The sequence below is a fragment of the Homo sapiens genome, chromosome 6, assembly GCF_000001405.40.
Source record: "Homo sapiens chromosome 6, GRCh38.p14 Primary Assembly".
In the NCBI taxonomy this organism is placed as follows: domain Eukaryota; kingdom Metazoa; phylum Chordata; class Mammalia; order Primates; family Hominidae; genus Homo; species Homo sapiens.
Genome location: NC_000006.12, coordinates 44,192,026 through 44,218,299, shown reverse-complemented (window position 1 = coordinate 44,218,299; position 26,274 = coordinate 44,192,026). Strand labels below are relative to the sequence as shown.

At 47.3% G+C, this 26,274-nt stretch overlaps 1 protein-coding gene and 1 pseudogene across 3 annotated transcripts, besides 7 other annotated features; both read right to left on the bottom strand.

Annotated features, from left to right (window-relative positions):
- Positions 66–25,579, bottom strand: MYMX (myomixer, myoblast fusion factor). 3 transcript variants are annotated; one of them, XM_024446300.2, is made up of 4 exons: positions 25,263–25,579; positions 13,251–17,246; positions 12,180–12,257; positions 66–850 (listed from the first exon to the last, which is right to left on the bottom strand). In XM_024446300.2, the coding sequence occupies exon 4, from the start codon at positions 826–828 to the stop codon at positions 574–576; it is 255 nt and encodes an 84-aa protein (XP_024302068.1). In that variant the 5' UTR covers positions 829–850; positions 12,180–12,257; positions 13,251–17,246; positions 25,263–25,579; the 3' UTR covers positions 66–573. The 3 variants fall into 3 exon arrangements, with proteins under 3 accessions (XP_024302068.1, NP_001334860.1, NP_001302423.1); NM_001347931.2 differs by lacking the exons at positions 12,180–12,257; positions 13,251–17,246; positions 25,263–25,579 and adding an exon at positions 1,306–1,374; NM_001315494.2 differs by lacking the exons at positions 12,180–12,257; positions 13,251–17,246; positions 25,263–25,579 and adding an exon at positions 1,332–1,374.
- Positions 117–1,002: an enhancer, noted in NCBI's record as "H3K27ac-H3K4me1 hESC enhancer chr6:44185035-44185920 (GRCh37/hg19 assembly coordinates)". NCBI's record gives its function as "activates a minimal SCP1, AML or CMV promoter by ChIP-STARR-seq in naive H9 embryonic stem cells {active_cell/tissue: H9 hESC(naive)}" and the evidence as "EXISTENCE:reporter gene assay evidence [ECO:0000049][PMID:30033119]".
- Positions 1,003–1,888: an enhancer, noted in NCBI's record as "H3K27ac-H3K4me1 hESC enhancer chr6:44184149-44185034 (GRCh37/hg19 assembly coordinates)". NCBI's record gives its function as "activates a minimal SCP1, AML or CMV promoter by ChIP-STARR-seq in primed H9 embryonic stem cells {active_cell/tissue: H9 hESC(primed)}" and the evidence as "EXISTENCE:reporter gene assay evidence [ECO:0000049][PMID:30033119]".
- Positions 4,790–4,971: a silencer, noted in NCBI's record as "fragment chr6:44181066-44181247 (GRCh37/hg19 assembly coordinates)". NCBI's record gives its function as "represses an EF-1alpha promoter that drives an FKBP-Casp9 reporter gene in an ReSE screen in K562 erythroleukemia cells {active_cell/tissue: K562}" and the evidence as "EXISTENCE:reporter gene assay evidence [ECO:0000049][PMID:32094911]".
- On the bottom strand, positions 8,237–8,534 carry RN7SL811P (RNA, 7SL, cytoplasmic 811, pseudogene; annotated as a pseudogene).
- Positions 13,746–14,745: an enhancer, noted in NCBI's record as "H3K27ac-H3K4me1 hESC enhancer chr6:44171292-44172291 (GRCh37/hg19 assembly coordinates)". NCBI's record gives its function as "activates a minimal SCP1, AML or CMV promoter by ChIP-STARR-seq in primed H9 embryonic stem cells {active_cell/tissue: H9 hESC(primed)}" and the evidence as "EXISTENCE:reporter gene assay evidence [ECO:0000049][PMID:30033119]".
- Positions 14,746–15,746: an enhancer, noted in NCBI's record as "NANOG-H3K27ac-H3K4me1 hESC enhancer chr6:44170291-44171291 (GRCh37/hg19 assembly coordinates)". NCBI's record gives its function as "activates a minimal SCP1, AML or CMV promoter by ChIP-STARR-seq in naive and primed H9 embryonic stem cells {active_cell/tissue: H9 hESC(naive and primed)}" and the evidence as "EXISTENCE:reporter gene assay evidence [ECO:0000049][PMID:30033119]".
- Positions 15,747–16,746: an enhancer, noted in NCBI's record as "H3K27ac-H3K4me1 hESC enhancer chr6:44169291-44170290 (GRCh37/hg19 assembly coordinates)". NCBI's record gives its function as "activates a minimal SCP1, AML or CMV promoter by ChIP-STARR-seq in naive H9 embryonic stem cells {active_cell/tissue: H9 hESC(naive)}" and the evidence as "EXISTENCE:reporter gene assay evidence [ECO:0000049][PMID:30033119]".
- Positions 16,747–17,747: an enhancer, noted in NCBI's record as "H3K27ac-H3K4me1 hESC enhancer chr6:44168290-44169290 (GRCh37/hg19 assembly coordinates)". NCBI's record gives its function as "activates a minimal SCP1, AML or CMV promoter by ChIP-STARR-seq in naive H9 embryonic stem cells {active_cell/tissue: H9 hESC(naive)}" and the evidence as "EXISTENCE:reporter gene assay evidence [ECO:0000049][PMID:30033119]".

Genomic DNA, 26,274 nt, shown 5'->3' with positions numbered 1-26,274 from the left:
GCCAGGCCAGGTTAAACTGTTTTGCAGAGCAGCAGTCTGGGTGATTAGACTTTCAAAGCCATGGAAAGAATTCAAATCAAATATTTATTGAGCACTTGCTGAGTGCTGGGCTTTGCAGGCAGGTCTGCCTCCATAAGCAACTCAGATATTATTTTAAGGTAGGTCCTGAGTCTGGAAGACAGTCTGGATTCAAATCTTGCCTCTCTGCTAAATTGTCACTTGTCCCTCAGTTAAGCACTGGGAACCTTGATGTTCCCATTTGCAGGGAGGGCAGGGGTGGGTGGGTGTTAGTTCCCCTCCCGCCTGAGGCCAGAGGTGATTAGGAGTGGTCTTTGGGAGGAACTGCTGGAGGACAGAGGGGCAATAATCAGTTTTGTGCTAGATGCAAGGCATTCTTCCAGAAAGACATTTCTGTTGGGAGTGGAGAGGCATGTCTGTGGCAGATCCCTCTCATGCACAACCCTCACTATATCTTCTGTCCACTGGGCAGGCTTCGGTCAGTGCTGGTGCCAGGATTATCCTACTCCAAAAGAAAGCATTTTGTGGATACAGCTGCTGCCAGGACTTGTGGCCTCACTTTTGGGGGCCTAACCTCTCCCTCCTCTCCAGGCGGTCCACTCTTGAGGCCTCCCCAGCGTCTGGCGAGTGTCGCTGGCTGAGAATGAACAGCAGACAGCCCAGCAAAGCCTCTCGCATGTCCTGGGAGCCCAGGCGGCGGGCCAATCGGCGCAGCAGGGGCAGGAGGTATTGGCGGGCCAGGCGGGCAGCAGGCAGCAGCAGGCAGGACAGCAGCAATCGAAGCAGCAGCGGGAGCAGTGGCGTGGGCATGGCAGGGCCAGTGAGTCAGTGCCTGGGAAGACAACACAGACTTTAGGCTTGCATGTCCTGGTTCTGCCTCACCTGGCAAGGACATGGGGTGGGCAGGAGTTCCCCCTCCCTTCAGTTTACACCTTCCTGCTCCTGACCTCAATTTGTAGGTCATTTTTGCTTTCATGAAGCCCTTTCTCTTGGCAAGGCAGCTGAGGCAGGAAGGTTCTCACCATAGCACAGATGGGGAGACTGAACCAAGGCAAGAGTAAACCAAGACCTACAGCTTGCCGTTCCCAGCTCCAGGCATTCCTACTGCTCCCTGGCCCCTCCCTTCCTCTAGTCACCCCCTCCTCTTGCACAGCCTCAATGCCCCTGGAGTTCCCTAACCCTTCTCCCTCAGTCTAGCAGGAGTTCTTCTCCAGGCAATTCTCAATTTTTCTTTTGGGGCTCCTGATCCACCCTGACCTGACACTCCCTGACCTCTCAGTCCCCTACCCCCACCAATCCACGGCAGCTCTCACCGGGCAGAACTGCTGCTCAGAATCAGTCTCTGGCTGGATTTGCCTGGAGTGGAGATAGCCCCACTGGATTCAGCACAGGGGTAGCCCCGCCCTGCTCTGCCCCACCAATTACAGTCCGCCTGGGTTGGGGAACAATGAAGAAACAGCTGTGTTCTGGCACCTGGTATATTGAGGGGAGCGGGCAGCTGGGCTGGCCCCCACTTCCCAGTCTAGGGGGAGGAGAGGGAAGGGAACATATGCAGGATTTCCCTCGAGTTGGAACCCAGACTGCACTTTCTCTTTTCTTTCTCTTCTTCTTTTTTTTTTTTTTTTTTTTGAGACAGAGTTTTGCTCTTTTTGCCCAGGCTAGAGTGCAATGGCAGGATCTCGGCTCATTGCAACCTCTGCCTCCTGGGTTCAAGCGATTCTCCTACCTCAGCCTCCCAAGTAGCTGGGATTATAGGAGTGTGCCATCATGCCAGGCTAATTTTTTTGTATTTGTAGTAGAGACAGGGTTTCACCATGTTGGTCAGGCTGGTCTCAAACTCCTGAGCTCAAGTGATCCACCCGCCTCGACCTCTCAAAGTGCTGAGATTATAGGCCTGAGCCACCGTGCCCAGCCCAGACTGCACTTTCTAATTGTGTTTCCTTAAGAACGTTGACTCTTCTGGGCTCCAGTCCTCTCCGCTGTAGCCTCAGTAAGTGGGAGTAACTGGAAGGAGTAACTGGAACAGGACAATATATGAGACCCACTTGCCTAAACCTCAGAAGCAGTGAGTCTGCAGACTGCACACACACCTGAGCACCAGGCATGCTCAGTGGCTGGGACAGGGAGACTAGGACCCAAGCAGGCCCCTGTGGGCCCTCTCCTGGGGGAAGAAAAGTAGAGGCACAGTCTATCTCCTAGCTGGGCACAGCTGGACACAGCTGGGTGGCATTCCCCCTTGGATGCTTACTTCAAGACCCTCTCCTCCACCTGCTTTCCTCCCTCAGATTAAATGAAATTCTATGAGATAGCTGGGTATATCTCTTTGGGTTTATAGCCTGGGTTTTATGTTGTTTTTAATTTTTATTTATTTATTATTATTATTATTTGAGACGGAGTCTCACTCTGTCACCCAGGCTGGAGTGCAGTGGCATGATCTTGGCTCACTGCAACCTCTGCCTCCCAGGTTCAAGCGATTCTCCTGCCTCAGCCTCCTGAATAGCTGGGATTACAGGCACCCGCCACGATGCCCGGCTAATTTTTGTATTTTTAGTAGAGGTGGGGTTTCACCATGTTGGCCAGGCTGGTCTCGAACTCCTGACCTCAGGTGCTCCACCCGTCTTGGCCTCCCAAAGTGTTGGGATTACAGGCGTGAGCCACAACGCCCAGCCTGTTTTTTATTTTTATTTATTTTATTTATATTATTTTTTTGAGGCAAGGTCTCACTCTGTCACCCAGGCTGGAGTGCCATGGCATGATCATGTCTCACTGCAGCCTCAACCTCACAGGATCAAGTGATCCACCTTAGTCTCCCGAGTTGCTGGGACCACAGGCAGGCGCCACCACACCCGGTTACTTTTTAAAATTTATTTTGTAGAGACAGGGGTCTCACTGTGTTGCCCAAGCTGGTCTCTAACTCCTGGGCTCAAGAGATCCTCCCACCTTTGCCTCCCAAAGTGTTGGGATTACAGGCGTGAGCCACTGCACTCAACCTATTTGGTTTTATAAATACTTCATTCTTCTACTTCATAAAATAAGTATAATTCCTGCCTTGCTGGATCAGATGAGATACTGTCCATGAAGTGTTTTGTAAACCTCAAGGCCTTGGGAATATGAGCATTTGTCATCATCCCCACCAGCCGCCACTAGCATCATCATCTCCATCAGCATGTAAGACCCTAAAGAAAGAAAACTTACCAGGTCAAAAAGGCCTGTCCCACTTCTACCTAAAGGAAGCAGAAGAGAGGAGCTAGAGAGTATAGACTCACAGGCAGAGTCTTCCTCTCCTTCCAGTTGCTTCCGGAGAAGGTATGATGACCATGTGCTATTGTAGGGTTGTGGGTGACAGGTGCATTGGGTACACACATATGCCAAGCTTCTGAGTTCAGGATCTCGCTCAGTTCTCACCACTAGCCAGACATGGTGGCTCATACCTGTAATCCCAGCATTTTGGGAGGCTAAGGTGAGTGGATCATTTGAGGTCAGGAGTTCAAGACCAGCCTGGCCAACACGGTGAAACCCCATCTCTACTAAAAATACAAAAATTAACCAGGGGTGCTGGCATGCGCCTATAGTCCCAGCTACTCAGGAGACTGAGGCAGAAGAATTGCTTGAACCCGGGAGACAGAGGTGGCCGTGAGCCGAGATCATGCCACTGCACTCTAGTCTGGGCAACGGAGTGAGACTCCATCTCAAAAAGCAAACAAACAAAATTCTCACCACCACCCTGCAGGGGAGCAATTATTATAACCATTGTACAAACGAAGAAACTGGGGATCAGGATGGTTAAGCAACTCACCTAAAGCCTCACAGCGGATAAACATCCTGATCTTCCTCTACACCTGCTCCTTCTCCTTCCCTAGGCTTTCCCATCTCTAAGTGGCAATTTATATCTTTCTAGTTACCCTGGCCAAAATCTTAGAAGTTATTCTTGACTCCTCTCTTCCTATTATAGATCACTACCCACATTAGCCAATCCTGGTGGCTCTACTTTCAAAATCTTCAGAATCTCACCACTTGTCAGATACTAGTATGATTTCCCTCATCGGAACATCCATCATCTCTTGCCAGAATCATTGAAGTATCCACCTAACTGATGTTCCTGTTTCTCTTTTCCACACAGTGGCCTGAATGATGCTTATAAAACATGAGCTGAATCTGATCCTTTCCCTGCTCAAATTATCCAATGGCTCACATCTCACTCAGAGTTAAAGCCAAAGGTTCTGACTTTTCAGCCCAGGATTTCAAGACCAGCCAGGGCAACATAGTGAGACTCTGTCTCTACAAAAAAATAAAAAATAAAAAAATTAGCTGAGCATGGCAATGCACACCCGTAGTCCCAGCTACTCAGGAGGCTAGGGTGGGAAGATTGCTTGAGCCCAGGAGTTCAAGGTTGCAGTGAGCTATGTTCATGCCACTGCACAGCAGCCTGGGTGACAGAGTAAGACCCTGTCTCAAAAAAGAAATAAAAATTTATTTAGAATTTTGGGAAGTTGTAAAAAATGTCAAAATCTTTAAAACTCTTGATTAAATAGGATCACTTGTCATTATGAAACAATACTAGAGACCGGGTGCAGTGGCTCACGCCTGTAATCCCAGCACTCTGGGAGGCCAAGGCGGGCAGATCACCTGAGGTCAGAAGTTCGAGCAGCCTGACCAATATGATGAAACCCTGTCTCTACTAAAAATACAAAAATTAGCTGGGCGTGGTGGCACGTGCCTGTAATCCCAGCTACTCGGGAAGCTGAGACAGGAGAATTGCTTGAGCCCGGGAGGCGGAGGTTGCAGTGAGTGGAGATCGCGCCATTGCACTCCAGCCTGGGTGACAGAGCGAGACTCCGTCTGAAAAAAAAAAGGTAAAGAAAAACGTTTTGCAATCTCTTTTATTTTATTTTATTCTTTTCTTTTCTTTTTTTTGTTGCCCACGCTGGAGTGCAATGGCGTGATCTCAGCTCACTACAACCTCTGCTTCCCGCGTTCAAGCGATTCTCCTGCCTCAGCCTCCCGAGTAGCTGGGACTACAGGCATGCGCCACCACGCCCAGCTAATTTTTGTATTGTTTTTAAGTAGAGGGGGTTTCATCATGTTGGCCAGAATGGTCTTAATCTCTTGACCTCGTGATCCACCCACCTCCACCTCCCAAAGTGCTGGGATTACAGGCGTGAGCCACGGCGCACAGCCAGCAATCTCTTTTCAAGAGCTGACAAAAGCTCCTAGAAAACCTTGTCATTTATTGATTTATTCATTTATTTTTATTTTTATTTAGAAACAGGGTCTTACCCTGTTTCCTAGGCTAGAGTACAATCACAGCTCACTGCAGCCTCGACCTTCTGGGCCCAAGCCATCCTCCCACCTCAGTCTCCACAGTAGCTGGAACTACAGGTGCATGCGTGCCCAGTCAAGTTTTGTTTTTTTTTTTTTTTTGGAGAGACAAGTTCTCACTATGTTGCTCAGGCTGGTCTTGAACTCCTGGCCTCAGGTGATCCTCCTGCCTCAGCTTCCCAAATGGATGAGATTACGGGCATGAGACACCAAGCCCAAATTCTAGCTTTGCATAAGTGTATTTTTTTATATTAAGGCTAATTTGTAAAACCTTTTAAATAAATTCATTAAATTTTAGTCAGTTTGACTATACAAAATTCTTTCTCCCAATGTTCTATATCCATTCAGGTTTTTTTGTTTCATTTTATTTTAATTGATAAATAATTGTTTATATTTATGGGATACAAAGTGATATTTCAATACATGTATACATTATGGAATAATCAGATCAGAATAATCGGCTTATATATCACCTCAAATATTTATTATTTCTTCGTGGTGACAGTATTTTATTTTTTAAAATTTTTATTTATTTATTTATTTATTTATTTATTTTTTGAGACAGGGTCTTACTCTGTCACCCAGGCTGGAGCACAGTGGCATGATCATGGATCACTACAGCCTCAGCCTCCTGGGTTCAGCTGAGCCTTCCACCTCAGCCTTCCCAGTAGCCGGGACTACAGGCACATGCTACCACGCCCAGCTAATTTTTGTATTTTTAGTAGAGACATGTTTGGCCATGTTGCCCAGGCTGGTCTTGAACCCCTGAGCTCAAGTGACCCTCCCGCCTCAGCCCAAGTGACCCTCCCGCCTCAGCCTCTCAAAGTGCTGGAATTACAGGCATGATCCACCATACCCAGTAGACAACATTTTAAATCCTCTCTTTTAGCCAGGCATAGTGCTACATGCCTATAGTCTCAGCTACTTGGGAAACCGAGGCAGGAGGATTGCCTAAACCCAGGTGTTCAAATCTAGCCCAGCCAACATAGCAAAATCCTGTCTCTAAAAAGAAATTCTAGATTAGGCACAATGGCTCTCACGGGTAATCCCAGTACTTTGGGGGGAGGAGGTGGCAGATCACTTGAGGTCAGGAGTTCGAGACCAGCCTGGCCAACATGGCAAAACCCTTTCTCTACTAAACACACACACACACACACACACACACACACACACAAAACCTAGCTGGACATGGTGGCGTGTGCCTGTAATCCCAGCTACGCAGGAGGCTCAGACACAAAAATCGCTTGAACCTGGGAGGCAGAAGTTGCAGTAAGCAGAGATCACACCACTGCACTCTAGCCTGGGCGACACAGTGAGACTTCGTGTCCAAAAAAAAAAAAAAAGAAAAGAAAAGAAATAATGTATTTTAGTTATCTCAAAATATATAATACATTGTATTAACTATAGTCACCTTGCTGTGCAGTAGAACACCAGAATTATTTCTCCTATCTAGCTATAGCTTTGCTCTCATTGAGCAATGCCTTCCCTTTCCCCATGCACCTCCCCATTTCCTTCTTTCATTCTGAAGCAACCTTAAATAACCTCCAAACTAGACAAAATTAATATTTTCCTTTACCCCCCAAAAATTCTTATACCTTATAAGTTTCCTAACCGAAAGTATGCATTAGTTTTCTTGTATATTTTGCATACAAACTTGTTTCCCTTATTATTTCTAGTTTTAACTACACATATTAATTAAAATTCTTAACCCTTAGTAACCTTAATTTCTAGCGAAAACTAGGAAGTAAGCAGTTACAAACTGTTACAGCAGCATTCATAGAATGACAAATCTATAAATACATCATTTTATAATTTCTAGAAGTATGTGCTTTTATTTACTTGTTTGTTTATTTATTTATTTAGACAGAGTCTTGCTGTATTGCCCAGTGGAGCCATCATAGCTCACTGCAACCTCAAACTCCTGGGCCCAAGTGATCCTCCCACCTTGACCTCATGAGTAACTAGTACTACTACGGGGTCTTGCTCTGTCGCCCAGGCTGGAATGCAGTGACATGATTATAGCTTACTGGAGCCTCAAACTCCTGGCCTCACGTGATCTTCCTGCTTCAGCCTCCCAAAGTGCTGGGATTACAGGCGTGAGCCACTGTACCCAGCCCCATAGTACAATTTTGAAGTGGCAAAGGACATATTTACTAACAGACCCAACTATCTCTAGTTCCTTTATAATAAGAAGACAAAAGTAGATAAACTTATGTTCAGCAATTAATATTTCAGTATTTTATCTTGTTGGGAAATGATCTAGATATACAATGAATAGCCATCACTTAATTTAACCTAGTATAACTTAAAGAGAGTAAGTTACCGAAGAGATTTGGGAAATTATTTTTAAACAGACATATTATAAAACATAATTATTGGCCAGGCATGGTGGCTCACCTGTAATTCCAGCATTTTGGGAGGCTGAGGTAGGAAGATCGCTTGAGGCCCCCAGGCCTTGGAGACCACCCTGGGCAACATAGGGAGACCCTGTCTCTACAAAAATAAAAATAAAACCATCAGCCAGGAGTGGTGGTGCACATCTGCTACTCAGGAGGCTGAGACAGGAGGATCACTTCAGCCTAGAAGTTCGAGACTGCAGTGAGCTATTATCAAGCCACAGCACTCCAGCCTGGGTGATAGAGGAGATCCTGTCTCCAAAATGACGAAAACAAAACAAAACAAAACAAAACATGATTACTGTTAAAAGGTATATATATTGGCCGGGCCCGGTGGCTCACGCCTGTAATCCCAGCACTTTGGGAGGCCAAGGTGGGCAGATCACAAGGTCAGGAGATGGAGACCATCCCTGCTAACACGGTGAAACCCCGTCTCTACTAAAAATACAAAAAATTAGCTGGGCGTGGTGGCAGGTGCCTGTAGTCCCAGCTACTCGGGAGGCTGAGGCAGGAGAATGGCGTGAACCAGGAGGCGGAGGTTCCAGTGAGCCGAGATCGCGCCACTGCACTCCAGCCTGGGTGACAGAGCAACACTCCTTCTCAAATAAATAAATAAATAATAAAATATATATATATATATACTTTTTTTGTTTTTGACACAGAGTCTTGCTCTGTCGCCCAGGCTGGAGTGCAATGGCGCGATCTCGGCTCACTGCAACCTCCACCTCCCAGGTTCAAGCGATTCTCCTGCCTCAGCCTCCTGAGTAGCTGGGATTACAGGCACCTGCCACCACGCCCAGCTAATTTTTGTATTTTTAGTAGAGACAGGGTTGCACCATGTTGGCCAGGATGGTCTCAATTTCTTGACCTTGTGATCCCCCTGCCTTGGCCTCCCAAAGTGATGGGATTACAGGCACAAGCCACCGCAGCCTGCCAAAAGGTATATTTTAAAACTTTTATCCTACTTACATATATTTAAGTCACTTGTTCTTAACAATTATGCTTGGGCAACAATTATGCATGAAAATCTTATGAAACATTAGACAAAGCTAGCCATCATCAAGTTATTTCCCTGATAACTGTTTTACAGCACGTGAATGTTGAGCAAATATCATGAAAGCAAAAACCTACAAGTTAAATACATGGGATTTTGGCCGGGCGTGGTGCCTGCAATCCCAGCACTTTGGGAGGCTGAGGCTGGTGAATCAATAGCTATCCATGGCTCCGAGAATGAATTTGGGGACTATTTGCCTGTTATCAGAGATCAATCTTTTGGGGGTCCCTGAGTCCTTTAAGAGCACGAAGCCAGGTACGGTGGCTCACACCTGTAATCCCAGCACTTTGGGAGGCTGAGGCAGGAAGATGGCTTGAGCTTAGGAGTTCAAGATCAGCCTGGGCAACATAACCAAACCCTCTCTCTACCAAAAATACAAAAATTAGCTGGGTGTGGCAGCATGCGCCTGTAGTCCCAGCTACTCAGGAGGCTGAGGCAGGAGGATCACCTGAGCCCTGGAGACGGAGGTTGCAGTGAGCTGAGATCATGCCACTGCACTCCTGCCTGGGCGACAGAGCAAGACCCTGTCTCAAAAAAAGAGAGTGAGAGAGAGCAGGAGAGCCTAAAGTTTAGTGACTGAGTGGGAAGAGGGATTAGTTCATAGGGCCTATTCCTAGGTGATCTGCCACTGTGTAGAAGAGGTGCTGTGTCTTCTGAACTTGTGAAAGGGCAGACACAGCATGGGGAGCATAAAGGTGAGTGGGGAGTCCCCTGAAGTGGGCAGAGCTTGACTGCAGAGTTCTGGCAATGGGAGCCTTAAGGAACAGCAAAGTGATCCTTGCCACTCACCCTAGGTGCTTCTGCCAAAGTAACTCAACCTATATGTCCCAGGCCTGGAGACCAGTGCTCTCTGTAATTCTTTCAGGGAAAGGGAAGTTAAAACAGGCATCTAGTGTTTAAGGAATTTTCTGGGGAAGCTGGAGGAGCTTGGGGAGTTTAAGGAATTTGCTGAGGAAGTGAGGCCAGATTTTGAGGAGGGCAGTTTAGGGGGTCTAGAGATCCGAGAGATCTTCTGGAGGGCCAGGGCCAGGGAGTTGGGGGTAAACAGGAGTATAAGAAGGTGGAGAAGGGGATTTATGGTGGATTTGGATTTCAACTTAGTTCTAACTGATTTCTGTGTTCTTGTTTTTTGATCGCATTAAGGGAGTTCCCAAGGTTAGCCTTTATACCTCTTTTCAATTTGATCTTCCCATGGGTATTAATAAGACAGTTGTTTAGGAGGAGAGCTGTAAATGTTTTTTTCTTTCTTTCTTTTTTTTTTTTTTTGAGACAAGATCTCACTCTGTTGCCCAAGCTGGCATGCAGTGGTGTGATCAAAGCTCACTGCACCCTTGACCTCCTGGGCTCCAGCGATCCTCCCAGGCTTAAGCGATCCTCCTGCTTCCGCCTCCAAAGTAGCTGTGACCACAGGCATACGCCACCATGCCTGGATAATTTTTGTATTTTTTGTAGAGACGAGGTTTTGCCATGTTGCCCAGGCTGGTCTTGAATTCCTGGGCTCAAGCAATCCACCTGTCTCGCCCTCCCAAAGTGCTGGGATTACAGGTGTAAGCCACTGCACTTGATCAATTTTTTTTTCTCAAATAGTACCAATTTGTTTATTCCAGAAGTGACTCGAACCAATAAGCTTTTTCATTTAAAGCCCCAGAGGAAACGTTCCAGGCTTAGAATAAATCTTTACTGACCGGGCACAGTGGCTCATGCCTGTAATCCCAACACTTTGGGAGGCTGAAGTGGGCGGATCACCTGAGGTAGGGAGTTCGAGACCAGCCTGACCAACATGGAGAAACCTCGCTCTACTAAAAATACAAAATTAGCTGGGCGTGGTGGTGCATGCCTGTAATCCCAGCTACTCAGGGGGCTGAGGCAGGAGAATCGCTTGAACCCGGGAGGTGGAGGTTACAGTTAACCGAGACCATGCCATTGCACTCCAGCCTGGGCAACAAGAGTGAAACTCCTAAAAAAAAAAAAATCTTTCCTGTGGGTACAAATAGCATTCCCGATGTGGATGCAGAAGTTGCAGCCCTATGATCCAAAAAGTTCAGTCCCAGAGACAGCCAAAGAAAGCAAAGACCACCAGGCACGGTGGCTCATGCCTGTAATCCCAGCATTTTGGGAGGCCAAGGCGGGTGGATCACGAGGTCAGGAGATCGAGACCATCCTGGCTAACACGGTGAAACCCCATCTCTACTAAAAATACAAAAAAATTAGCCAGGCGTGGTGGTGGGTGTGAGGCTGAGGCAGGAGAATGGCGTGAACCTGGGAGGCGGAGCTTGCAGTGAGCGGAGATCGCACCACTGCACTCCAGCCTGGGAGACCGCGAGACTCCGTCTCAAAAAAAAAAAGTAAAGACCTTCCCTGTCACAGGCAGTTAAGGATAGTGTTTGTGAAAATGAAATCTTGGTTTGCCAAGGAATGTGGGATGACTGTAGTCATTAACCTGCTAATCTGCTCATCTTTGACAGCAGTTGTCCTCTCTCTGGGCAGGCATTAATTGGAGGGGACTTTCCCAGCACTAACCAAGCAATGGAGGTTGAGAAGTCATAGGCCCCTTATAGACTGGGACCTCTTATTAAGACAAACACCTCGAGAGCTGACAAGGCCACACGGAGAGAATACTCCTGTCACTTCATGTCTCGGGCTCCCAGCCTGTTAGACTGGCTGCCTGATGCAAGCCAACACTTGCACCCCTGGCTGGCAGAGACCACAGAGAATACCCTCACTGGTCACAAAGCCAAGCCATCAAGACATAAAACAAGACAAAAGGAGACCCTCATTCCATGATTCTCCTCCTTATGACAAAGGACACAAAAGATAGAGGCAAAAAACAAACAAACAAAAATGACTATCCCCAGGAGGCAAGGGATCAGAAACAAGTACTAGACCAAAAAATAAAAGAAAAATCCCCAAACCCTAGTGTGCTACACAAGAACACACAAATGTTTTATCTTGTTAATCTAAATTCAGAAAGGGGAAAAACAGGCCAGGTGCAGTGGCTCACGCCTGTAGCCCCAACACTTTGGGAGGCCGAGGCAGGTGGATCATTTGAGGCCAGGAGTTTTAGACCAGCCTGGCCAACACAGCAAAACCCCGTCTCTACTAAAAAAATACAAAAATTAGCTGGACGTTGTGGCGGGCGCCTGTAATCCCAGCTACCCGAGGCTGAGACACAAGAATCACCTGAACCCAGGAGGCGGCAGTTGCAGTGAGCCAAGACTGAGCCACTGCACTCTAGCCTGGGCGACAGAGTGAGACTCTATCTCAAAAAATAAAATAAAATAAAAAATAAGTAAATAAAGAGAAGAAACAAAACCAAAGACACATTTACCAATCTCACTTTGACCATACCCTGCAGGCAGAGATCTAGGAGCCTAATATGGTAAGAATCTTACCTGGAATCCTGCATTGTGGCAGTACTGGAGCTAGCAGGTCCCAGACAGTAAGGTCCCTTTGTAACAGAGCCTATATTACTAAAAAAGAAACAACAACAACAACAAAAATGAGGTTTTTTTTTGTTTTGTTTTTTTTTTTTTGAGAAAGGGTCTGGCTCTGTCTCTCAGACTGGAGTGCAGTGGTGTGATCTTAGCTCATTGCAACCTCTGCCTCCCAGGCTCAAGTGATCCTCCCACCTCAGCCTCCCAAGTAGCTGAGACTACAGGCATGCACCAGTACGCCTGGCTAAATTTTTTCTTTTCTTTTTTTTTGAGAAGAAGTCTTGCTCTGTTGCCCTGGCTGGAGTGAAGTGGAGCGATCTCAGCTCACTGCAACCTCCACCTCCTGGGTTTAAGCAATTCTCCTGCCTCAGCCTCCCAAGTAGCTGGGATTACAGGCGCCCGCCACCATGCCTGGCTAATTTCTGTATTTTTAGTAGAGATGGGGTTTCACCATGTTGGTCAGGCTGGTCTTGAACTCCTGACCTCGTGATCCACCCACCTTGGCCTCTCAAAGTGCTGGGATTACAGGCATGAGCCACCGCCCCCAGCCGCTAATTTTTGTATTTATTTATTTATTTATTTGGTAGAGATAGGGTTTTTCCATGTTGCCCAGGCTGGTCTCAAACTCTTAGGTTCAAGCGATCCACCATCCTCAGCCTCCCAAAGTGCTGGGATTATAGATGTGAACCACTGCTATTTTCCTTTTTCTTTGTCCTTTTCCTCTTCCAATGGATAATTGCTTATACATAGTGATTTTGGTAGAGGTTAGTCACTAATAATTGATTAACTTCATACCCTGACCCTGGGGGGTTGCCCGCAAGACTAATGAATTTTTTTTTTTTCAAAGAACGATGATCTCTAGGTCATGCAGACCTCCTTGAAGGCATCCAGAAAGTTTGATCAACCTGGGGCTGTTAGCAGCTTTGATCACCGGGGAATATCACCTCCCACAACCTACCTTACTCATAAAAGCCCCCAGTTATGTTCAAAGGCAGGTCAGATTTGAAAGTGTGTCTCTCCCATGCTCACCCGTTGGCCAAATCAAATAAACCATTCTCTCTTCTGAAGCACTGATGTGTCACTGTTTGGCTTCCTGCACATCAGGTACTCAAACTGAGTTTTGGGGTTCTACAACTATAGAAGAGAAAAAAATATTGCTTCTTGGTACCCTTCTAAGTTCTTTGGCAGGTCTATGAATTAAATTGACATAGACAGATTTACAGGAGAAAAACATTTTTAATTTCATATGTATGCACAGGAGTCCCACAAAAATATAAGACCCCAAGAAACAACCCAAAAATTAAGGCTTATGTACTATCCTGAGCTACACAATAGGGGTTTGGGGCCTCTAGGGGTGATGGAGACATAAGAGGGTGAGGGGAGGAAATGGGTGGTGAATAAAGTGTGCCTTGCTATGTAAGATACAAGTCTCTCAGGTGATAAAAATTGTCTGGAGTAAATCTCTTCCTGATATAGATACCCTCTCCCGTGAAAATTTCCTTGTTAAATGTAGATTTCCTTTATAAAAGAACAGCTTTTCAGAGCAACTCCCATGTCTACAGTTTCTTAAAATAACCAGCTTGAAATAATCAATATCCCAAAGAGGTATATTTTGGGGTGGCACAGTCTAGTCACTGGCAGTTCTGTTTTGGAGTGGTATGTCCTGAGCCCCTACTCAGGCTCAAGCACCTACCAAAAGGGTCTTTATCCAGAAATCTACGTGGCTTCATCTGTGACCTCCTTCAAATCTTTGCTCAAATATTACCCAACCATCCTATTTAAATGTACAGTCCTTCCACCCCACCTCCAGCTGCCCTGCCATCCTTTCCTCTACTTTCTTTACCTCTCTGCTAAATCATTGTCAGACATGCTATATATTTTACTTCCTTATCTTGTTGGTTATCTGCCTCCCTTACTAAAACGTAAGTTCCACCAGGCGCAGTGACTCACTCCTGTAAACCCAGCACTTTGGGAGACCAAGGCGGGTGGATCACCTGAGGTCAGGAGTTTGAGACACCAGCTGGGCCAACATGGAAACCCAGTCTCTATTAAAAATACAAAAAATTAGCCGGGCATGGCGATGCGTGCCTGTAATCCCAGCTACTCAGGAGGCTGAGGCAGAAGAATCTCTTGAACCCGGGAGGCAGAGGTTGCAGTGTGCCAAGATCATGCCACTGCACTCCAGCCTGGGTGACAGAGCGAGACTCTGTCTCAAAAATAAATAAATAAATAAAAATAAAGAAATAAAACATAAGTTCCTTGAGAGAAGGGACTTGAGAGTAGGAACAATTTTGTTGTGGCCCAGTGCTTGGCAATAAATACTAGTAAAAATTGTTGTAAGAAATGTGAAAGGAAAAGAGACCCCAAACTCACAAAGGGAAAAGTTAAGCTTGGGAACTGAGTCACACAAAAACTGCCTTATTTTGGTTCCTAAACAGACAGCTGCAGCAATGGAAGGCCGCATATTTCCCCAGGTGACCTTTCTCACAAATTGCTCAGGAGGAATTCCTTGTGGGCTCCAAAGTCCTCACCCTAAGGCCAAGTTCTGTTGAATCTCACCAGTAATGGACTGTTCCTCTTTTCCCTCCTGCTGCTCTTTCCCCTTTAAGAATGGAAATCCTGAAACTGTCTTTGGAAAAAGGACAGGCCACAGAGCCTTCTGTAACTTTTGTCTCTTTTTCCCAGGCTTATCGTCAACCTTGGCAAAATAAACCGCTAAGTTGACGGAGATCTGTCTCACACACTTTTTTTTTGGTTTACGGAACAAATAAATGAAGGTTCTGTGGCAGGATCCAAACCCAGGTTTGCTTGCCCCAGAGTCTGTGCAGCTGGGTTCCAGGGCTCCACTGATCTAAACACACTCCCAGGATGTGTGTGAGAACCCCTGGGCTGCACAGACAGCTGGAGAGAGTCTCGAGGGGAGGAACGGCAGGCCCTGATGGCTCCCTCTGAGAACCACCAAAGTGCGTACTCCACGGGGAACCGTGGAGGCCCCACCAAGCACTGGCCCACATCTGTGGTTGCTGTGACCTTGGCTAAGTCACATCCCACTCCTCCCAGCCTCAGTTTCCATAGCTGTGGGATCTTCCAGCGGTGAGATCCTTGGACCCTGGGGTAAGGCCCAGATACTCCTACCCCACCGCTGCCTCTTGTAAACAGAGTGAGAGATTCCTGGGCCTGGGATGATGAGGCAGGTAAAGGAAACTAGCTATTGTCTCTGGGAACAATGGGGAACTCCAGAGGGGTTTGGGCAGGGAGGTGGGGGAGGGGCAGTGGCTGGCTCCAAGGAATGGATCTAGTCTTAGTTTACTCTCTAACCCCTGACTCTTCCTGGGATTAACTGCCCTCTCCACCACCTTCCCATCCTCACTTCCATTAGCTCCACCCCACCTCCCTTGCCTGCCCCAGACATTTTCTCCAAGGCGGGAACACTAAAGCTGCTGTGGATTTCCTCAGCATTCCTGGAAAAATAACCATCTTCGTCAGGAACAAAGCCGCCAGGGAGCAGTTTCTTCCAGTTCCCAGTTTAGCCTTGTGTCATGGATCCTTCCTGCACTTCCCTGACCTCTGCCTCCCATGCTCTGCAGGCAACTTTGAGGAAACTGACCAAATCTCCTGTTTCCTTAAGGTCAATTGAAAAAAAAAAAAAATAGTATCTGGATACCAACCTGTGAAGGTGAGGACTGTGGGCTGGCACTAAGTGGCCCCTGGGATCTGCCTTTGTGGTCCACTCCCCAGATGCCCAGGGCCATCCAGAAACATTCTGGATGATGCCCATACACAGGCATCAGTTAATCGGGCCAGACATGACAACATACATTGTGTGCCAACTGTGTGAAAGCCCGTGCAAGGCTCTGGGTCAATGGTGAAGAGGACAGACACACCAAGAGCCACCAGAGTGACAGACAGCAGATGGGGAAAGCAGGAATGATAGCAAGAGTTGCACTAGAGCTAATGGGTTCTTGCCAGACCCACGGGCACCGAGAGTCCTGCTCTTCCCACCCCTTCTGCATGTCTCCACCCAGGCGCTCAAGAGCATGCTGCGACAGGCCACTGCCTCCGCATGACTTGCATTAAAAACATGTGTCTGGGTCCCAGCTCGTGAAGTTGGCTGGAGGTGCTTCTGAGTTGGTCGCTCTGGAACCACATGCTGGCTCTGGGACCCTCTCTCAGGGCCCCTCTGGATGCCAGAGCAGGCTGTATATTGCACAGCGGGAGTTGAGAGTGGCACCTTCCGGAGCTGTGCTATGGGGTGGTCCCCCTCCCTAAAATGGGAATTATAATAATACCTACAGCTGACCAGATAAAGAGATGAGGAGAATGTGAGGCTCAGAGTTTGGCTACCAGGTAGGTGTCTCATAAATATTAGTTTCCTTCCTTCCACCCTTATGTCAGAGGCCAGCAGAGAACTTGCTGCTCCTTGGAGGCCTGATGCAAGGCACCCTGCTGCTCATGGGCAGCACTTAGATCAGAGGCTGGGGCTCTGTTAATGCTTGAAGAATCAAGGGAGGCCTGCGGAGGCTGTGGCCCCTCGCTCTGTCATGTTTCACTGGCCTGTTGTCCTCTGGGAAATCAGCATTGGTGTGGGGCCCTTCCTGTTTGTGGGAGGTTGAGGACAGCTCTGACCCCTAAACAAGGAGTTCTGACAAGGAGCCAGGGAGGCCTCATCAAGGGCAGGGTGTGTCAAGGGGTGATGTTACCAAGGAGCAGGTGGGGAGACCTTGGGGCCAGGAACCAGAGCCAGCCAGGTATAGGCAGTGTGGGTGGGGAATGGGCGGAGTTCTAGCCCAGGAACTGGGAGCTCAGCCCTGTCATAATCACAGTGCCTTTCTGCCTGGGACAACAGGCCAGAAACCACCTACCTGAGTGAGGAGCTAGGGCCTGAATGTGACCACTGAAAGAAGAGGTGATGCGCTTTGGAGGGATGGTCCCTTATCCATGACCATCATTCCTCTGCCCACCAATTCCAGGCAATGATAGACCCATGCACAGGCGACCGGGCAGTGGGACACACACTGGATATGCCTGTAAGACATGAGCAAAATGGGCCAGGGAGTTGGAGGTTGCCTGAAAGAGTAGCTAGCACAGACAGATGGGACTCCCCAATCCACAAGAACAGTTGTTCTAGCCAGGGAGGAGGAGGTGGCCCAGGAAAGGAGCTTGTATAGAATACAGCCATTGTCCCCACTGCAACAGCTGTTGCCCACTGCCCCCCACCCCCCACTCAGCTGACAGGACCCTGAGGGTGGGAGGTGGGGGCCCTACCCTCTCTGGCAATGCCTCAGAGGGAACAGTCAGTTGTTGGGGCAGGAGACAGCTGTTTCCTGGACAGTGAGAGGGATGAGGGTGGACAGAGGAGCTTGAGGAGAAGGTAAGGAAGGACATGCCTAGCATATCTGATGTGGGGAGGGAGAGCAGCAAAAACCACAATGCCACAGGGAAAAAAATCTAATAAAAACCTGATGGCCAGGCGCGATGGCTCACGCCTGTAATCCCAGCACTTTGGGAGGCTGAGGCAGATGGATCACCTGAGGTCAGGAATTTGAGACCAGCCTGACCAACAAGGTAAAACACCATCTCTACTAAAAATGCAAAAATTAGCCAGGTGTGGTGGCAGGCGCCTGTAGTCCCAGCTACTTGGGAGGCTGAGACAGGAGAATTGCTTGAACCCGGGAGGTAGAAGTTGCAGTGAGCCCAGATCGTGCCACTGCACTCCAACCTGGGTGACAGAGCAAGACTCTGTCTAAAAATAAAAAATAAAATAAAATAAAAAAAACTAGGCAAGACCCCAGTGGAGAAACAAATTTTTTATGGAGAAACCAAAAAAGAAGACCTAAATATTTGAATATTTGAGTGAATGAGGCAAGGTAATGGTCAGTAAAGTATTATGTTATAATTTTTTTTTTTTAAGAGGTAGGCTCTTCCTCTGTCTCCCAGGCCTGGAGTGCAGTGGCACAATCATAGCTCACTGTAGCCTTGACCTCCTAAGTTCAAGCAATCCTCCCACATCAATCTCCTGAGTAGCCGGGACTACAGGAACAGGCTACCATGAGCCACTGTGCCTGGCTATAATTGTTATAAAGATGTTAGTTCTGACCGGGCACGGTGGCTCATGCCTGTAATCCCAACACTTTAGGAGGCCAAGACGCTTGGATTGCTTGAGCCCAGAAGTTTGAGACCAGCCTGGGTAACATGGCAAAACCCAGTCTCTACCAAAAAATACAAAAATTAGCCAGACATGATGGCTTACTCCTATAGTCTCAGCTACTTGGGAGGCTGAGGTGGGAGGATGGCTTGAGCCCGGGAGATTGAGGCTGCAGCGAACAGTGATCATGCCACTGGACTCCAGCCTGGGTGGCAGAGAGAGACTGTCTCAAAAAAAAAAAAATTAGTTCTCCCCCAAATTAATTAGAAATTCAATGCAACTCTGACCAAGAATCCACCAATCTGTGTTTTTTGTCTTTCTGGAAGCTGATTGTAAAATTTATATGGGAGTCTCAAAAAAGAATAAAATAAAATTTATATGGGAAAAAAAGACCAAGAATAACCAAGTTAATGCTGAAGAAGAAAAAGAAGAGGGGGGCCAGGCGTGGGGGCTCACGCCTGTAATCCCAGCACTTTGGGAGGCCGAGGCAGGCAGTTCACTTGAGCCGAGGAGTTCGAGATCAGCCTGGGCAACATGATGAAACTGTCTCTACTAAAAATACAAAAGAAAATTAGGGGGCACAGTGGCACACACCTGTAGTCCCAGCTACTCGGGAGGCTGAGGTGGGAGGATCACCTGAGCCTGGGAAGTCTAGACTACAGTGAACCATGATAGCACCACTGTACTCCAGCCTGGGTGACTGGAGTGAGATCCTGTCTCTAAAATAAATAATGAAAGAAAGATAACAAAAATAAGAGGGCACTAGCCCTATAGATACCAATCTGGCCAATCTGGTAATATGGGAATGAAAACAGTGTGGCAAAATGCAAGAATAGACACAGTGACTAAGGAACAGAATAGAGAGATTAGAAACAGATCCAAGAACATGTAGGGGAGAGGGGGAATTGCTGGTCAGTGAAGGGACAAAAATGGTCAGAAATAGGGCTGGAACAGTTGGCCATCCCCAAAAGGAAAAATAAGATTTGATCCTCTGGCACATCAATTACAAAAATAAATTCTGGGCCAGGTGTAGTTACTCACGCCTGTAATCCCAGTATGTCTGGAGGCCAAGGACAGATCACTTGAGGTCAGGAGTTTGAGACCAGCCTGACCAACATGGAAAAACCCTGTCTCTCCTAAAAATACAAAAATTAGCTGAGCATGGTGGTGCACGCCTGTAATCCAGCCTGGGCGACAGACCAAAACTTAAAAAAAAAAAAAAATTCTGGTGGCATTAGAGATCTAAATGTATAAAGTCAAACTATAAAATATAGGCACTGGTGCCTGTAATCCCAGCTACTGGGGAGGCTGAGGTGGGAGAACTGCTTGAACCTGGAAGGTGGAGTTTGCAGTGAGCTGAGATTGCGCCACTGCACTCCAGCCTGGGCAACAGAGCAAGACTGTCAAAAAAATAAATAAGTAAATAAATTAAATTAAATATAGGCACAGATCTTTAGGAATTTGGGATAGGCCAGGCACGGTGGCTCACGCCTGTAATCCCAGCACTTTGGGAGGCCGAGGCGGGTAGATCACGAGGTCAGGAGATCGAGACCATCCTGGCTAACACGGTGAAACCCCATCTCTACTAAAAATATAAAAAATTAGCCGGGCGTGGTAGTGGCGGGCACCTGTAGTCCCAGCTACTCGGGAGGCTGAGGCAGGAGAATGGCATGAACCCAGGAGGCGGAGGTTGCAGTGAGCCGAGATCGCACCACTGCACTCCAGCCTGGGTGACAGAGCGAGACTCTATCTCAAAAAAAAAAAAAAAAAAAAAAAAAAGAGGAATTTGGGATAGTAGAGAATTATGTGTTGTATAGATTCTTACAAACTTTTTGTTATGGCAATTTTTTAAATTATGAGAATAGTATAATAAACTCCTATGCATGAGCCACCTAGCTTCAATAGTAAGTTGAGATCTTTTGATACTACAAAAGATACTACAAAGTGAAAAGACAATCCCCCGCAGGCTGGAAGGAGATATTTGCAGTCCATATAATTGAAAAAGATTTAGTATCAATTACAAGTAACATACTTTTATAATCAATAGGGCCAGGAGTGGTAGTTCACCCCTGTAATCCCAGCATTTTGGGAGGGTGATGCAGGAGGATCACTTGATCCCAGGAGTTCAAGGCCAACCTGGGCAACATAGTGAGGCCCTGTCTTTATTAAAACATAATATAATATAATCAATAAGAAAATGACAGAAAAAGAAACAAAGGATCAGAGGTGGCAATCTCCTGAAACATGAGTAAGTAATCCATAAATGTGAAAAGCTAGTTATCCCTGACAATGGAGAACTGCAAACTATACCCAGAAAGAGTTACCACATCATACTCCTGAGAAGTGGCAAGTCATAGGGTACTGGAAGGAGAGGTGGTGCTTTTTTGTTGTTTGTTTTTTTGAGACGGAGTCTCACTCTGTCACCCAGGCTGGAGTGCAGTGGCATGATCTCAGCTCACTGCAACCTCCGCCTCCTGGGTTCAAGCGACTCTTCTGCCTCAGCCTCCGGAGGAGCTGGCATTACAGGCGTCTGCCACCACACCCAGCTAATTTTTGTATTTTTAGTAGAGATGGGGTTTCACCATGTTGGTCAGGCTGGTCTCGAACTCCTGACCTCAAATGATCCGCCTGCCTCCGCCTCCCAAAGTGCTGGAATTACAGGCGTGAGCCGCCGTGCCCAGCCTGTTTGTTTGTTTTTGAGATGAAGTCTTGCTCTGTCCCCCAGGCTGGAGTACAGTGACTCGATCTCGGCTCACTGCAGCCTCTGCTTCCTGGGTTCAAGTTATTCTCCTGCCTCATCCTCTGGTGTAGCTGGGATTACTGGCTAATTTTTGTATTTTTAGTAGAGATGGCATTTTGCCATGTTGGTCAGGCTAGTCTTGAACTCCTGACCTCAGGTGATTTGCCCTCCTCAGCCTCCCAACATGCTGGGGTTACAGGCATGAGCCACCATGCCCAACCTGTTTGTTTGTTTTGACACGGAGTTTTGCTCTTCTTACCCAGGTTGGAATGCAATGGCGCCATCTCAGCTCACTGCAACCTCCGCCTCCCAGGTTCAAGCGATTCTTCTGCCTCAGCCTCCTGAGCAGCTGGGATTACAGGCATGTGCCACCACATCCAGCTAATTTTGTATTTTTAATAGAGACAGGGTTTCTCCATTTTGGTCAGGCTGGTCTTGAACTCCTGACCTCAAATGATCCGCCCACCTCAGCCTCCCAAAGTGTTGGGATTACAGGCATGAACCACTGCGCCCGTCCTGTTTGTTTGTTTGGAGACCGAGCCTTACTCTGTAGCCCAGGCTGGAGTACAGTAACGCAAATTCCGCCTCCCGGGTGCAAGTGATTCTCGTGCCTCAGCCTTCTGAGTAGCAGGGATTACAGGTGTGCATCGCCACGCCCAGCTAATTTTTGTACTTTTAATAGAGATGGGCTTTCACCCTGTTGGCCAGGCTGGTCTCAAACTCCTGACCTCAGGTGATCCGCCAGCCTCAGCCTCCCAAAGTGCTGGCATTACAGGTGTGAGCCACTGCTCCCAGCCTAAAGAAAGAGTTTATAACACAATGATTTCAGAGGGCAATTTGGCACTATCTGATAAACCTGGAATTGCATGTTTATTATTTATTTCCCTGGAACCCAGCAATTCTAAACTGTAGGGGTGGCTCTAGAGAAACTCCCATAGATATGATACGGAGATATGTACAAGGATGTCCAGGCTGGGAGTGATGGCTCTCGCCTATAATCCTAGCACTTTGAGAGGCCGAGGCAGGAGTTTGAGACTAGCCTGGCCAACATAGTGAAACCCTGTCTCTACTAAAAATACTAAAATTAGTTGGATATGGTGGCAGGTGCCCGTAATTCCAGCTACTCAGGAGGCTGAGGCAGGGGAATCGCTTGAACCTGGGAGGCAGAAGTTGTAGTGAGCTGAGATCATGCCACTGCACTCCCGGCCTGGGCAACAGAGTGAGACTCTGTTTCAAAAAAAAGGAAAAAAAGAAACCAAAATTGTCCATTCATGTTCTTTATAATAACAAAAAAAATTAGAAACAACTTAAGTGTCCATGAATAGGAGAATAGAAAAGTAAATTTAGATTTATTCATAAAACAGAATACAGCAGATAAAATGAAAGTACTATCTCATGTATCAAAAGGGATAAGTATCAAAAACATGATACATAACGTGAGTAAAATAAAACCAAATGGCAAAAGGATATGGGCCAAATTACATATTTGTAAGAATTTATGATACATGAACAATAATATATATTTTTGTGGGTGCATATCCATGTAGTAAAAGTAGAAACATAGCCAGGTATAGTGGCTCATGCCAGTAATCCCAACGTTTTGGGAGGCTGAGGTGGGAGGATCACTTGAGCCCGGAAAGTTGAGGCTGCAGTGAGCCACAATCATGCCATTGCACTTCAGTCTGGGTGACAGAGTGAGACCCTGTCTCTCACACACACATAAAAAAAAAATTACAGCATAGATGGGAAAGACAGAATTTCAGGAGAGTGGTTCCCTTTCAGGGAGAACGGGCAGAGATGGCGATGTTCCACAGGGACAGGAGGAGACTATAGCTGTTTCAGTAATGTGTTATTCCTTTAAAAAAGAAAGAAAGTGGCCAGGCGTGGTAGCTTGTGCCTGTAATCCCAGCACTTTGGGAGGCAGAGGTGGGCAGATCACTTGAGGTCAAGAGTTGGAGACCAGCCTAGCCAACATGGCAAAACCCCATCTCTACTAAAATTACAAAAATTAGCTGGGCTTGGTGGTGCGCACCTGTAATCCCAGCTACTCGGGAGGCTGAGGCAGGAGAATTGCTTGAACCCAAGAGGCGGAGGAGGTTGCAATGAGCTGAGCTTGTGCCACTGCACTCCAGCCTGAGCAACAGAGCAAGACTCTGTCTTAAAAATAATAATAATAAATAAATAAATAAAAAGAAAATGGAAAGAAATAAGACAAACTGTTAACACTTTAATCTTGGTGGCGAATATACGGCAGTATTCTGTTTATTATTTGCTATCCTCTGTATTTTATTATTATTCTGCACACCATCTATGTAACATGGTGTGAAACATGTACTGGTCTCCCTAACCGCTGCAGTCTTTCTCTAGATCTCCCAAACTCTCTTCCATCTTTTTCCCTCCCTTTCCTTCCCGACCTCCCTCAAGTTTCTGGCTCCCCAGAAGTCGAGGCAGTGTGGCCTGGCAGTTAGGGAGTGCGGTGCTGGCAGGCAGGCCTCTTGCTTCCAGCTGTCCCCGAGCATCCTCCTTTCTGTCCTCAGTGTCTCCTTGGGTGTCTAGAGCTGACCCCTTTCCACCCTGCCTTTCCTCTCCAGCCCCCGTAGGCAGGAGTTGGCTCTTTGTGCCAGGGATGAGGGATCCTGCTGGAGGTGAGGCTGCCATCAAGGGAGTGGAACAGGATGGGCAAAGAGGGAGGCTGGGGGTGACCTTGCCACGCCACACCATGGCAATCCTGGGAGTGCAGCCTGCTCCCTGCATCATGGCCCAGAAGGACTGCAGGTGCCCAGCGGAGCTCTGCTTATCACTCTCCTCTGCTCCTTGAAAATCCAGTGGATGCCCCTGCCCAGGCTAGCCTATTTTCTTCCCCCCTTGCCCCATCTTCCTCTTAATAAGAGAGTTCTGGAAATATGAGGGAAGGGACTAGAGACTTCATTCTAAGAGTGATGAGGACCTGGAATGGTGGGTTTGGGGAAAATACATTTTTCAATACCACTAAAGGCAAGTCCATACCAATTATGACAACAGATGTCGTTAAACTTCTCTGTGTTTAGTTCACCTGATGAGTATTCTAGTTGGATCTGATAACATATATATCAAAGAACAGAAAATATTGGAATAGTTCTTTTTAAAGAGCTGCTACATTTTGAACATATCTCCAAGAAAGTGGGTACCTGCACAAAACTCTACCTATGGAAATTACTTTTTTTTTTTTGGAGACGGAGTTTTGCTCTTGTCTCCCAGGCTGGAGTGCAAGGGCACGATCTCAGTTCACGGCAGCCTCTGCCTCCTGGGTTCAAGTGATTCTCTTGCCTCAGCCTTCCGAGTAGCTGGGATTACAGGTGTGTGCCACCACGCCCGGCTAACTTTGTATTTTTAGTAGAGACAGGTTTTCACCATGTTTTGGCCAGACCAGTCTCGAACTCCTGACCTCAGGTGATCCACCAGCCTTGGCCTCCCAAAGTGCTGGGATTACAGGCATGAGTCACCGCGCCTGGCCAGAAATTACTGTTAGAGTTAGAATCATGCTAGAAGAGAGCGGCTGTGTGATTGGATTCATTTTAGGTGGAGAGGGCAGCTCTGAGACCAAATAATAGGAATAGTATTATTTCATAGAAAGACAATATGGGGTGATAGTTAAGCAAATGGACTGTGGAGCTATGCTGCCCACGTGCAAATCCCAGCTCCTCTACTGCCAGTGTGGAATCTTAGGCAAATAAGTCATTAGCCATTCTGTGCCTCAGTTCACTTTTCTGTGAAATGGAGCCAATTTGTTAGGATTAAGGGCATAATACAGGTTGAATGTTAGAATGGTACCTGGTATAGAAAACATGTCAGGTGCAGTGGCTCACACCTGTAATCCCAGCACTTTGGGATTACACCCAGCCTGGGTGACAGAGCGAGACTCTATATGGAAAAAAAAAGAAAAAGAAAACATAACAATGTAAATATTCAATGACTAGTAGCACTCTTTGTTATATCCCAGAGCTCATATTCATTTATCCTATTATTATTTACAAGTATATGGTTCAATTGGCCCTTATAATTTTCCCCTGAGTGTTCTCTTCCTTGACAGATGAGTAAACTGAAGTTCAGAGAGGGCCTCGGTGACAGAAAAGGGTGGTAGGAAGACAGTCAAGGTAAAAAAGTTTGTGCATCAGACCTGGGAGGGTTCCAATTCCAGCTGGGGCACTTTGGCCCTTAAGAGGCATCCTGGATGGAGAGCTTTGAAGTTCAAAATAGGAAGCGGTCACGTTAGCTGGGACCGCCATTGGTTGCTTTAGTCAACACACTCTTGTGCAGGCTCTCGAAGTACATCAGAGAAAAAGACAGTCCTGCTCTCAAGATATGGTCAGTAGGAGAGGCAGGAGGAAACAGGAAATTACAAGACAGAAAAAGAAATGGCCTGCACCTTAGGAGTCCAGGACACTTGGCCAATGTGTGAAAAGTGAGAGCTGGCTTCCTGGAGGGTGGAGCTTTAACCCGAGGCCTGGAGGAGTGGCCAGAGAGAGAGGAGGGCTTCCAAGAAGAAAAGAGGGGGTGTCCTGGGAATGAAGAATGGGTAGAATGTGACAAACAGCCCCTCTATCCATGCTGTAGGGAGGGGGTTAGGGTTCAGGTGAGGAAGAATAGGAGCAGACGGGAGCCAGACAGTGGGGTGAATTCAGGAAATGCTTAGCGGACCTGAGGCGTCAGCCAGCCACAATGCTCAGGCGAGTCCTGGACGTCCTTCCTGGCTGTGTCACTTACAGAAACAGGGAAACCAGGACCCTTTTGGTGGATGAGGTGATGATCCAGGTTCCCAACAGGATTCTGAAGCCCTGTGAAACCTAGCGTTTGACGTCTCTGGAGGGAGTGGATGGGGGGCAAGAGAAAAGTGGGTGGGGGAAGGGGGGTCAAGGAGAGAATGAAGCTGTTGTGGGGATGAGCAGGATGGGAACTTGGAGATTCCCACGTCAGCACCTCACTCACCTTCCTTGGAAGACAGAATAAGCCCAGAGAGCTGTCCAACAGGTAGGAAAGTGCAGTTACAGACTCCCACAGGGATGGAGTCAGTTTAAGACAATTATTTTGAAATTACTTTGTAAATAAACACACACACACACACACACACACACGCAAGCGCGCACACACACAGAGGCACTGATAAAGAGCAAGAAGAGGCCGGGTGCGGT

Excerpts from the sequence above, each read along its gene's own strand:
- MYMX (XM_024446300.2), bottom strand. The coding sequence starts at position 828 with ATGCCCACGCCACTGCTCCCGCTGCTGCTTCGATTGCTGCTGTCCTGC.